The 13,590-nt window shown below is 48.7% G+C and overlaps 1 protein-coding gene across 12 annotated transcripts in view; it reads right to left on the bottom strand.

Moving 5' to 3' along the window:
• Positions 1-1,995: 1,995 nt before the first annotated feature.
• The window catches only part of FAM193A (family with sequence similarity 193 member A), a 197,199-nt gene continuing 185,604 nt past the window's right edge, over positions 1,996-13,590 (bottom strand). For all 12 annotated transcript variants that reach the window (NR_046336.2, NR_046335.2, NM_001366316.2 and 9 more), the window contains one exon: positions 1,996-2,794. Coding sequence is in view for 9 of the 12 variants with exons in the window: in NM_001366316.2 (NP_001353245.1) it covers positions 2,701-2,794 (94 nt within the window). In the remaining 3 variants the exon portion in view is untranslated. The remainder of the gene's footprint in view (positions 2,795-13,590) is intronic.

Genomic DNA, 13,590 nt, shown 5'->3' with positions numbered 1-13,590 from the left:
TCATGGCCTCCACTGTTTCTGAGTGCCTTCAGGCTTGAACCTCTTCATTCTTTGTTGCAAACAAAGTCAGTTTCTTTGGGAAGAGATTAGGAGCTATCTGTTTTACTGCCTGTTTCTCTACCCAGGCAAAATCTCTGAGCAGGGCTCAGAGCTGAGGGTGCAGAAAACAGTAAGCTTCTCAATACAACTGTTCACTGTTAAAGTTTCCTTTCTAACTATTGTTATTGTTTCATTTCATGACTATTACAGGTTGAGTATGCCTAACCCGAAAGGTTCCAAAATTCAAATCCTTTTGAGTGTTAAGATGATGCTCCAAGGAAATGCTCATTGGAGCATTTTGGATTTCAGATTTTTGGATTAGAAATGCTCAATTGGTAAGCATGATGTAAATACTCCAAATCCAAAAAAGTCTGAAACTGGACACACTTCTGGTACTGAGGATGCCAGATAAGGGATAAGGGATACTCACCCTGTGCTACTGTGTGAGTCAAAAATGTGAGGCTCCCCTATGGCGGCCCCACCCTCCCCCACAGGGAAGTGATGTCATCAGGAACCCCAGGGGCTCCCATCAAGTCAGGGACCCTGGAGCTGGATGTCCTATAAGCACCCTGGGATGCTGGAAGGATGAGTGGTTTCCAGGGAAATAGAGGAAGATCCTTCCTGGCAAGGGCATGGCCAGGACAATGGCTGGGAGCCTGAGGGCCAAAGCTAGCAGGTGCAGGTCAGGGGCCAGAGCGGGCAGAGCTGTGAAGCCGCAGGCAGGGTTGCCATGGAGGTGATGGGAGTGCCCAGAACTGGGCATGTGCGGTGGGCGTCTGAGGGTCTCTAGGTCCCAGCATGATGCTTAGTGTGTCGGGGCACCCAGAGTTCCCCATCACCACTCAGGGCTGTGCAGTTCCCCTCAGCAACAGGCATGGTTCAGCACAGTGTTAAAGGCTGTCCATGGGGAGAGCAGGGCAGGTACTGGGGGCCTGGGCAGGCAGCTTCCCCATAGGGCGAGGCCCGGGCCTGGGCCTTTCCCCAGCCACCACCGCAGCCAGAAGAGGCAGCGGCTGGAGTCCCGGGGGCCTGCACTGGGGTTTCAAGGACACTACTGTTGCCGTGGTCATGGCCTGACCTGCTTCACTCTCTGCCCTATCATCCCACGAACAAAGGAACGTTCTCTTCCTCACACCTGGAAAAAAAAACAAGTGAGGAAAGTTCGTCGTGCTGCACCTCCCCTGGTTGGTGACCCTTTTCCAGCTTTCGTGCAATCTCCAGAGTTCTAGGACCTGCTGTCCCCACCTCATTCTCCTGCAAACCGGTGCCTGGGTGGGGGTGCCCTGGGCCTTGTCTCCCCTGACCTGCCTCGAAGCCTCCTCACCCTCCTCTGCCTTCCTGGTTCCACAGCTCGGGCCCCCATCCCATCTACTCACCCCTGCAGGGCCCTCACACAGGCTCTGTCCATGAACAGCAGTCCCCAGTTCCAGACCTCTCACCTGGGTGGCCGGTGGACATCCCAGACTCACCATCCAGAACTGGTCTCCAGTCCCACCTCCAGGCACACAGCGCAGGTCTTCACCTCTTTCTCCTACCTGCATCCTGTCCACCAGGAAATCCTGTGGCCTCATCGTCCGAATACCTCCAGAAGCTGGCTCTCCCTACCCTCTCCCCAACCAGGCCCTGCCCTATTCACCTTCACTCAGAGTGAAGTCATACTCTGATAGGGCACACAGAGACAGGCTGAACATGAGGCTGGGAGAAGTGGGAGCTACTGAGTGTTCTAGGTAGTAAGAAGTAACCAGGATGCAGCTCCTTGGGAGCTTTCTGTCTCCTGCTGCCTGCTCTGCCTGGCACACAGAGGATGGTGGGGGCACCAGGATGGGTGAGCCGTTGCCTGGAGAGACCTGGGACCTGCTCCGGGGTGGTGCCCTGGCTCCCCATGGCGGACACATCACCTACACGCCCTCTCCCGCTATCCCCCCACTCCCCCAGCAGAAAGAAGCAGCCGAGGTCTCCTGCTGTACTAATGTATTCCATCTTTCAAAAAGAAAGACATGATTTTAATATTACTTAACAATATGTTAAAAAAGTAGCCAGGCAGGCCTCCGTGTTAATACAGTCGTACACTCTATAACAGACTTGATGGTGTGAGTACTGGGTGGGCTTGTTTTTAACTTTCTCGTTCTGCAAGGGATCTTACACAAGCTGGCTACAAGTCAGGGGGATCAAACACAAACAGCGCAACGTGTACACTCGGAGACAGTAGATTGTGGAGAACAAAGGAGGCCTGCCCCGCCCAGCCCGCCTAGGGTGAGACGCAGGGGCACAGGAGAGCTGAGTGACGGCCGATACCCCGGTGAGGACACATGACAGGACAGGGCGCAATGCAGAGGCAACGGAGCCACGTGGATGATGCAAACTCCTATCTGGCCACGGCCCAGGCCTCCGAGGCCGCGGTGGTGGGAGGACTTGGCGGGAACTACTGTTCCAATCCGACAGCACAGAGCTACAATCGAAGGAGTCTCACGCACAGACTACACGCACACGAGCTAACGGCGTGGGCCGAGCATCAACTTCTCGGTCTGGGGTTTCAGGCAGCACCAGCTCCGCACAGCCCTTGGCAAGCACCACGGCTCTGGGGCGCCAGCGAGGGGCGTGGCTCTTGGGGTGGTGCAGCCTGGCCTGCCTCTCGCGTGTCCCTCTCCAGGGAGTCCTCATTCAGTGGGCAGCAAAGGTGGCTTTTTTCAAGCTAAAATTGGACCAGTTGATAGACAGTCTTTGTCGGGTCTGTCTAGCAGAATCCAAGCAGAACCTGCAAAGACAAAAAGCCAAACAGTCACTGAAGGAAACAGCCCACAACCAAGCTGGTGCTTGGCAAAGCCCATCACACTCCTGTTCTTGCCAGAAACTCACTGCGGGGTCAGGGGTTTAGATTCTCGGTGAGGGGCACAGTGTCAAGGGTCCCCTCCAGGCCCTGCTACAGGCTGCACTTGAGAAGGGGAAAGGACTCGGGAGGAGGAATGGGTGGGCGGAAGGAGTCCTGAGAAAGAAAAGAAACGTTTAATCTGAGAGCTGTGAGCGCCCTTAAATTATCAGGCCCAGGCAGGGTGTGGTGGCTCATACCTGTAATCCCAGCACTTTGGGAGGCTGAGGAGGGCAAATCACTTCAACTTAGGAGTTCGAGACCAGCCTGGGCAACATGGTGAAATCCTTTTTTTTTTGAGACAGGGTCTCACTCTCTTGCCCAGGCTGGAGTTCAGTGGCAGTTTCGGCTCACTGCAACCTCCACCTCCAAGGTTCAAGCAATTCTCTGCCTCAGCCTCCCAAGTAGCTAGGACTACAGGCATGTACCACCACACCGGTTTTTTTTTTTTTTTTTTTTTTTTTTTTGAGAAGGAGTTTCGCTCTTGTCATCCAGGCTAGAGTGCAATGGCACAATCTCAGCTCACTGAAGCCTCCGCCTCCCACGTTGAAGTGATTCTCCTGCCTCAGCCTCCCAAGTAGCTGGGATTACAGGTGCCCACCACCACGTCCAGCTGATTTTTGTATTTTTAGTAGAAAGAGGGTTTCACCATGTTGACCAGGCTGATCTGTACTCCTGACCTAAAGTGATCCGCCTGCCTCGGCCTCCCAAAGTGCTGGGATTACAGGCGTGAGCCACTGTGCCTGGCCACACCTAGCTAATTTTTAATTTTTTTCAAATGGAGTCTCTGTCACCCAGGCTGGAGTGCAGTGGCACGATCTTGGCTCACTGCAACCTCTGCCTCCCAGGTTCAAGCGATTCTCCTGCCTCAGCTTCCCAAATAGTTAGGACTACAGGTGCATACCACAACACCCAGCTAATTTTTGTATTTTTTGTAGCTTCTTCCCTGGCCAAGAAGCTTTTTTTTTTTTCTTGACACGGAGTCTTGCTCTGTCGCCCAGGCTGGAGTGCAGTGGCGTGATCTCGGTTCACTGCAACCTTCGCCTCCCAGGTTCATGCCATTCTCCTGCCTCAGCCTCCCAAGTAGCTGGGACTACAGGCACCTATCACCACGCCCAGCTAATTTCTTCTATTTTTAGTAGAGATGGGGTTTCACCATGTTAGCCAGGATGCTCTCAATATCCTGACCTTGTGATCTGCCCTCCTCGGCCTCGCAAAATGCTGGGATTACAGTCGTGAGCCACCGCGCCCGGCCTCCAAGAAGCTTTTATAGAAAGCAGAGGCCTCGAAAAAATTGTATACACATATATCCTAAATATCAGCTTCTAATTAAGTCAACTTTCAACTCTAAAGCTGTTTAAAAGGATTCCTGTGTCAGGTCTTAGCCAGGCAAATAGTCAACATTCTTGTTTCTTGGTTTTTCCTTCCTGAAACTGACACCAAAGAGGAGATCTGAAGCTGGCCATGGTGGCTCATGCCTGTTTTCCTACTACTTTGGGAGGCTGAGGTTGGAGAATCACTTGAACCCAGGCGTTTGAGACCAGCCCGTGCAACACAGTGAGACTCCATCTTTACAAAAAGTAAAAAGTTAGCCAGGAGTGGCAGTACACATATGTGCCTATAGTCCCAGCTGCTCGGGGCTGAGGTGGGAGGATCCTTGAGCCTGGGAGGTCAAGGCTGCAGTGAGCTGTGATGGTGCCCCCGCACTCCAGCCTGGGTGACAAAGGTGAGACCCGTCTCAAAAATAATAAAGCCTTGCTGTGGTGGCTCATGCCTATAATCCCAGCACTTTGGGAGGCTGAGGTGCGTGGATCACTTGAGCTTACAAGTTCAAGGCCAGCCTGGGCAACATGGTAAAACCTCATCTCTACAAAAAAACACAAAAATTAGCCAGGTGTGGTGGCGCACACCTGTGGTCCTAGCTACTCGGGAGGCTGTGGTGGGAGCATGGCTTCAGCCTGGTGGGCAGAGGCTGAGCGAGCCTGTTGCCGGTGGCAGGTACCTGAGTTGCCGGTGGCGAATCCGTATGTGTCTGCAGCAGCCTCAATTATTGCCTCCTCAGACGAAAGAATCTGACCAAAGGCCATAAGGCAGAAGAAGAGACTGAGGCAAGTTTTAGAACAGGAGTGGAAGTTCATTACAAAGCTCTAGAGCAGAAACAAAAGGAAGGAAAGTGCACTTGGAAGAGGCCAAGTGGGCAACTCGAGAGGCAAGTGCCCCATCCGGCCTCTGATGTAGGGTTCTAGGTGTTGGCATACTTCAGGGCCTCGCGTCCCTTCTCCCAATTCCTCCCTTGGGGTGGGCTGCCTGCACACACACTGGCCTGCTAGCACTTGGGAGGGAGCATGCGTAGTGTGTTTACTGGAGCATGCGCATGCTCACCTGAGGCGATCTTCCCTTCCCGGTGTAAAGTACCTGGAAGGTCACACACCAGTTAAACTCCACCATTCTGTGCCTTAGTGCACATGCTTGAGCCCACTTGCCCAATTCCTGAGATCTTATCGGGAAGCTGCTGATCACCAGCTTCAGTTTCCCTGGTGCTGGCTATGACCAATTATTATTTTAGAGAGGCAGTGTGACAACTGCCTAACCATCACCTGATGGTCACCTGACATCCCTGGTGGATGGAGGAGGCCCTCCCCTGCCCTGCTCACACCTGACTAGCTACCCACTGTAACAAACTGAGAATGCGCCACTGCACTACGGCCTGGACGGACAGAACCAGACTTTGTGCTCCCACCAAAAAAAAAAAAAAAAAAAAAAAAAAGTTTTGGAGGTGGAACATATTTGCTTATTAGAGGTCTAGGGTAACCACTATTTAAAGCTGTTTGTCTTTGAATGTTTTAATAAACTGTTTACTTTCTGAGTATATGGTTTCATTTAGCTTAGGAGAAGGCTAAACAAAACAACAAAAAACCCCTATCATATTCTAAATATAAACCAGAAATTTATAATCATTCAAGGGCATACCTGCACAAACGACTCAAAGCCAACACACACAGACATGCATGAGACCAAAATTAAGAATCCCTTTATGGCTTTAACCAAGGTCTCTGAAGAGGGAACAAAATTTCAGCCCCAGGCCCCTCTCAAGAACAGCTTAAAGAAAGTCTTGCTAGCTGCGAATAGGGTGCAAGCCACATCTGTCAGGCCATATTTTCTAAGGTCTCAGCTTCTCAGCTGACAGTCTATGCACAAATGCCAGGTGGAAGATTTAAAGAGACAGGAAAATAGAAAAACGAAACTGCCCATGGGACTAGTGCCAAAAATGAGGGAAGGTAAACCTGTGGGGTTGGGCTGGGGAGGTAGTTCATGCTTGTAATCCTAGTACTTTGGAAGACTGAGGTGGAAAGATACTCAGAGGCCAGCCTGGGCAACATAAAGAGATGCCTTCTCTACCAAAAAAAAAAAAAAAAAAAAAAAAATTGGGCCGGGTGTGGCAGCTCACGCCTGTAATCCCAGCACTTTGGGAGGCCGAGGTAAGGTGGGCAGATCACCCGAGGTCGGGAGTTCGAGACCAGCCTGACCAACATGGAGAAACCCTGCCTCTACTAAAAATACAAAATTAGCCAGGCGTGGTGACGCATGCCTGTAATCCCAGCTACCCAGGATGCTGAGGCAGGAGCATCGCTTGAACCCGGCAGGCGGAGGTTGCGGTGAGCCAAGATCGTGCCTGGGCAACTAGAGCAAAACTCCATCTCAAAAAAAAAATAAATAAAATAATTTTTTTTTTTTTAATTAGCTAGGCATGGTGGCGCATCTGTAGTCCCAGCAATGAACTGTGATCAAGCCACTTCACTTCGGCCTGAACTGAGACTTCATTTTTAGAAAGTCTTTTGGGGTTTAAAGTCTGCTCACAGATTCCTCTGCCCCACTGGCACCATCTGTGGGCTGCGGAGTAGCTGTCTTCAGTAAAAAAGGATTTATGTCCTACCTTTAGGCAAACAAAGGAGAGGTAGAGAGAGCCCCTGCACTCTGTCTTCAGCTCAACAATACCCAGTATTTGAGAGAGCAATATTTTAGTTTCCTTTAGTAGAAAAGATGACAAATGGGTATCCCAAATGGTCAAGAGTCATAAATAATTTCAAGTAAATTCAAATTAATTCCTATTAGTGGTTATCCTAAGCTAAAGGTATCCATTGAGGAAAGAAATCTGTAGTGGCTCTAAGGAACTGTAACTTTGTTTCAAATCCAGTCTCAGCGGGAATGCTGCTAATTCCCTGGATGACAGAGTGAGAGACTGTGTCTCAAAAAATAATAAATAAATAAGTAAGTAAGATTTACATCCTTAAGTGACTGAGAGCACTCTCTAAAACAAACTTCCAAATCTCTTGAGGGCCAGGGAGAGAACTCACCTTCATGCACCAGTTTAAAACTAACAGCAATTGGTCACAATTTTTTTTTTTTTGAGACGGAGTCTTGCTGTTGCCAGGCTGGAGTGCAGTGACGCGATCTCGGCTCATTGCAACCTCCGCCTCCGGGGTTCAAGCGATTCTCCTGCCTCAGCCTCCAGAGTAGCTAGGACTACAGGCGAGCACCACCACGCCCAGCTAATTTTTGTACTTTTAGTAGAAACGGGGTTTCACCATGTTGGCCAGAATGGTCTCTATCTCTTGACCTCGTGATCCGCCCGCTTTGGCCTCCCAAAGTAGTGGGATTACAGGCAGGAGCCACTGCGCCCGGCTGGTCACAATTTTTTTTTTTTTTTTTTTTGGGACGGAGTTTTGCTCTTGTTGCCCAGGCTGGAGTGTAATGGCACGATCTGGGCTCACTACAACCTCCTCTTCCTGGGTTCAAGAGATTCTCCTGCCTCAGACTCCAGAGTAGCTGGGACTACAGATGTGCACCACCACACCCGGCTTTTTTTTTTTTTTTTTTTTTTTTTGGTATTTTTAGTAAAGGTGGGGTTTCACCATGTCGGCCAGGATGGTCTCAAACCCCTGACCCTCAAGTGATCCACCCGCCTCGGCTTCCCAAAGTATTGGGATTACAGGCATGAGCCACTGTACCTGGCCTTGGTCACAAATTTAAGGAGGAAAAAAGGTCTGAATTACAAACAGTAGGAAGCAGCAATTTTAAAAGCATGCTGTGTAATTTAGGCCAAAAAAAAAGAAGCCACAGGAGGAACGGAGCCAAACTGCCAGTACCGGGACCCGGATCCCATGCTGTGAAGCAAGGCCAGAGAAGGCAGTTTCCCTTTTTTTTCCCTGAAACCCAAATCTCTTGCCTCTTTAGAAAGGGAAGGGGGTTAGAAAGAACAACTCAAGTTTTTAAGAAAAAAAGAACAAATTAGGAGAGGAGGTGATTACAAAAGTTGTTTATCAGGGCCAGGCTTGGTGGCTCACGCCTCTAATCCCAACGTTTGGAAGGCCGAGGCAGATAGATCACTTGAATCCAGGAGTTTGAGACCACCCTGGACAACATAATGAGAACTGTCTCTACTAAACATTTTAAAAATTAGCTGAGGCTGGGCGTGGTGGCTCACGCCTGTAATCCCAGTACTTTGGGAGGCTGAGATGGGCGGATCACGAGGTCGGGAGATCGAGACCATCCTGGCTAACACGGTGAAACCCCGTCTCTACTAAAAATACAAAAAAAATTGCCAGGCGTGGTGGCGGGCGCCTGTAGTCGCAGCTACTCAGGAGCCTGAGGCAGGAGAATGGCGTGAACTTGGGAGGCGGAGCTTGCAGTGAGCCGAAATCGCGCCACTGCACTCCAGCCTGGGCGCCAGAGCGAGACTCCATCTCAAAAAATAATAATAATAAAATAAAAATAAAAATAAAAATTAGCTGAGATTGGTGGCCCACGCCTGTAGTCCCAGCTAGTCAGGAGGCTGAGGTGGGAGGATCAAGTGAGCCTGGGAGGTCAAGGGTCCAGTGAGCCAAGATCATACCACTGCACTCCGGCCTGGGTGACAGAGCAAGACTATTGCCTTAAAAAAAAAAAAAAAGTTGTCAAGAATTCTCATTGCTTTACAGAAATTATATTGATAGTGATTGGCTATAAACTGTTGAACTACAGGATATGAGTTATCCCTATGACAACATTAAGAGGTTAATTTACAGCTACTTTGGCCACACTCTATCTAGAGTCTATACAATACAGCAGGTGGATTACTCAGCTTGAGGTGGGGGAAGGGGTAGGATGTACCCGCTCTCACATTTCACTGCCTCTCTGGTGTGATTACTTTTTTTTTTTTTTTTTTTTTTTTTTGGAGACAGGGTCTTACTCTGTTGCCCAGGCTGGAGTGCAGTGGTACGATCACAGCTCACTGCAACCTCGACCTCCTGGGCTCAAGCGACCCTCCCCAACCTGAGCTTCCCAGGTAGCTGGAACTACTACAGTAGTGTGCCACCATGCCCAGCTGATTTTACTTTTTGTAGAGATGACGTCTTGCTGTGTTGCCCAGGCAAGCACCATATATATGTGTGTGTATATACATACATATATATATAGTTTTTAATTTAATTAAAAAATAGAGACAGGGCCAGGTGTGGTGGCTCACGCCTGTAATCCCAGCACTTTGGGAGGCGGAGGTAGGTGGATTACCTGAGCTCAGGAGTTAGAGGCCAGCCTGGCCAACATGGTGAAACTCTGTCTCTACTAAAAACACAAAAAAATTAGCTGGGCATGGTGGTGGGTGCCTGTAATAGAGGCTACTCAGGAAGCTGAGGCAGGAGAATCACTTGAATCTGGAAGGCGGAGGTTGCAGTGAGCCGAGATTGCACCAATTGCACTCCAGTCTGGGTGACAAGAGCAAAACTCCATCTCAAAAAGTTAAAAAATTCATAATAAAAAAACCTTCTCAGTTGACTGAATTCCTCTCTTCCGTAACCCTTGATAACGATATGCACTTTCTCAGCCCGCTTTTCTGTTTGTTGACATGATTTCTGCCAATAATGTAAAGCTTCATTGACTGGAAAGCTTAAATTCTTTATCCTCTGTTTGGTTTTTGAGACAGGGTCTCACTCTATCTCCCAAGCTGGAGTGCAGCGGCACAATCGCAGCTCACACCTCAAACTCCTGGGCTCAAGTGATCCTCCACCTCAGCCTCCCAAAGAGCTGGGATTACAAGGTGTGAACGCTGTGCCTGGCTTATTTCAGATAAACAAAATATTAATAATTGCTTATTTCTTAAGTTTTCACTATAATTTAAGGTTACTAAAAGCTAAAATTCTGACTAACATGGTAACTCAAAGTAGAGATAAGCAGGAAAACAGTTCTACATATAAAATACATAAGAAAAAGTAAGATGTGTTTTGGTAAGGAAGGTTATAAGAAAAACATGAGGATGTGGTTTTGTCAAAGGAAAAAGTGATTTTGACTAGTTTAGAGGTTATTTAAAAGTGGTCTTAAGTTGAAAAACAGATGGAAAAGAAAATAAATGAATATAGAAAGTTGGGAAAAGGAAGTGAATGGGAAAATTCTAAGAGGTTATAAAAGATTTATGGAAATCCTGTGTGGTCAAAGCTGATTGAAATTAGATGGATCTGTTTAAAAGATTTTACTACAATTAATAGTAATACACTGATGCAACTGGTTTTCTCTTTTCAATAAGATTTCATGTAGTATTAATAAGAGATAATAAAATACTTTGTCAATTATCTTTTGAGTAAGCTGAAAAAAAAAAAAAAGACATTCTGTTGGCCTCATGCCATTTTCATTATGTCTTCTGACTGTTGAGAAAACTGAGTCTCAGGCAGCGGGTGGTGGAGCACGCCTGTGGTCCCAGCTACCCAGGAGGCTGAGGTGGAAAGATCACCTGGGCCTGGTGGTCAAGGCTGCAGTGAGCCGTGATTGCACCACTGCCTGGACAATGGAGTGAGACCCTGTCTCAAAAAAACAAAACAAAACAAACAAACAAAAAACCCAGAAACCCCAACCCTCCAAAACCAGAGTCTCCTATCAAAACATAAAGGTTTTTGCTTTTTGAAACCTTTGAATTATTAGTTTGGTTAAATGAATAACTTCTTTTGTGATGATCTTATTTTGATATCAAGTGTTTTAAACCTTTGATATCTGACATACTTCCTAAAATCAAATTTTAAATTCTAAATTAGTCTTTTTTACTTCAAACTTTTTTTTTTTTTGAGACGGAGTCTTGCTCTGTTGCCCAGGCTGGAGTGCAGTGGCACGATCTCAACTCACTGCAACCTCCGCCTCCTGGGTTCAAGCAAATCTCTGCCTCAGCCTCCCGAGCAGCTGGGATTACAGGCACCCACCACCACATCTTGCTAATTTTTGTATTTTCAGTAGAGAGGGGGTTTCAACATCTTTGGCCAGAATGGTCTTGAACTCCTGACCTCATGATCCACCCGCCTTGGCCTCCCAAAGTGGGATTACAGGCATGAGCCACCGTGCCTGGCCTAAAGGATACTGTTTTTTGGTTTGAGACAGAGTCTCGCTCTGTTGCCCAGGCTGGAGTGCAGTGGCGTGATGTTGGCTCACTGCAACTTCCGCCTCCTGGATTCACGCCATTCTCCTGCCTCAGCCTCCTGACTAGCTGGGACTACAGGCACCTGCCACCACACCCGGCTAATTTTTTTGTATTTTTAGTAGAGGTGGGGTTTCACCGTGTTAGCCAGGATGGTCTCGATCTCCTGACCTCGTGATCCTCCTGCCTTGGCCTCCCAAAGTGCTGGGATTACAGGTGCGAGCCACTGCGCCCGGCCTAAAGTATACTTTTGTAAGCAAAATTGAAACACTGGACCAGGTGTGGTGGCTCATTCCTGCAATCCCAGCACTCTGGAAGGTTTGAGAATCCTCTGAGCTCCAGAGTTCCAGACCAGCCTGGGCAATGTGGCAAAACCCTGTCTCTTACTTACTTACTTATTTGTCTCTAAACTTGAATGAAACCTGAAAATGGTTATTACTGTCACCCATCCATTAGGTTTAATTATGGTTGCTTAAACTGTGGCTTGTTTATTCAACCACAAACATTCGTGAATGCCCAACAGCGTTCTTGCCTTGCAGCCTCTATGAGACTGATCCCCTCACTCCCCTAAACTGGAAGGGCTGACTGTGTCATCTCCCAGAATCCAAATTCTCTTTCCCTGTCCCTAGCTGGTCAAGCCCTGAGTTTGTGATGTTACCTTCTGCCTCTGCTGTCCCCTCCTAACTCTGACAATCACTAATCCTGTTTCCATTAGTGCATGTGTGACCCTGTCCCCCAGCCCCTTCTGGACACAGCAGCTGGAATAGAATGCTCAAGAACATCAACCACATTCCTGCTCCAAGCCATTCAAGGAAGAAATCCAATCCAAACCACTGCACAGCTTCCACAGGTTCTTGCAGCATGGGCACAGAGCTCACGCTGCTCTCTAAGGTCCCAGGCCCAGTGTGACCTGGCTTTGTCCCTCCCCACACCACCTGCACCCGAGACACAGTGGCCTCTGCATCAGGCCTGTTTTGTCGACTGCAGACTACGTGAGACATGCACACGGTGTCTGACACACAGGACAGCCACATAACCAGCAGGGAGAATCCTGAGTCACAGCACCCCCAGGTCACAAAACCTGACACTGCTAACCGTGGCGCCGTGCTGTCCTCTCCCAAGAGGTAGTCACAGCCCTAGGGTTTGGAGTAATTAGTTCACCATAGTTCTTGGTAATTTCGTGACTTCTCTATGACATCCTAAATGTTAGTATGGTTGTGCTGTGTGGCCTCATATCGAGGGAACTGCACTGTATGTACATGGTCTTACAGCTTCTTATTTCACTCAATGTTATGTCTGTGAGAGTTCTCCATGAGGTGACAGTCTGTTCGTCTTCACTGCGGTATGAACACATGGCAGTGAACAGACAGATGCTGCTGCTTGCCTCACGTTTGCCCCGCCCCCGGGACATGCAGGAGAACCTCTAGTCGTGCACACAAGTGTGCAGCTGTTTGTGGGGTTGCACGGGAGGCACAACTTCAATTTTGCTAGAGTCTGCCAAACTCTTTTCCAAAGTAATTTAACAGTTATGCTCCCCGGAGCAGTGGTTAGGGACTCCCGTCGCTTCACACCTTCCTCCAGCAGGAGAGAGGGAGGGCTCGCTAGCTGCAAACCCATGAAGCAGCAGCACCTCCTCTGGTCTTGCCATGGGGCTCCTTGGTCAGGCTGAAGACCTCTTTGTAGTTTAGTGGTCAAAAGCTTGCTGTGTAATCCTAATGGTTTGCCTTTTGTTTTAATTTTTTTGGAGAAAGGATCTCTCTATTGCTTAGGCTGGAGTGAGGTGGCGTAAGCATAGCTCACTGAAGCTTCAAACTCCTGAGCTCAAGGGATACTCCTGTGTCAATTTCCTGAGTAGCTGGGACTACAGGCATGTACCACCATGCCTGGCTTTTTTTTTTTTTTTTTTTTTTTTTTTTTGAGACGGAGTCTTGCTCTGTTGCCCAGGCTGGAGTGCAGTGGTGCAATCTCGGCTCACTGCAAGCTCTGCCTCCCAGGTTCACGCCATTCTCCTGCCTCAGCCTCCCGAGTAGCTGGGACTACAGGTGCCCGCCACCACGCCTGGCTAATTTTTTGTATTTTTAGTAGAGACGGGGTTTCACCGTGTTAGCCAGGATGGTTTCGAGCTCCTGGCCTCGTGATCCACCTGCCTCGGCCTCCCAAAGTGCTGGGATTACAGGCATGAACCACCGCGCCCGGCCCACGCCTGGCTAATTTTTAATTTTCTTGTAGAGTTGTGGTCTATGTTGTCCAG

This window comes from Homo sapiens, chromosome 4, assembly GCF_000001405.40.
Source record: "Homo sapiens chromosome 4, GRCh38.p14 Primary Assembly".
Classification (NCBI taxonomy): domain Eukaryota; kingdom Metazoa; phylum Chordata; class Mammalia; order Primates; family Hominidae; genus Homo; species Homo sapiens.
The sequence above is the reverse complement of the archived record's forward strand: the minus strand, read 5'-3'. Positions and strand labels throughout refer to the sequence as shown.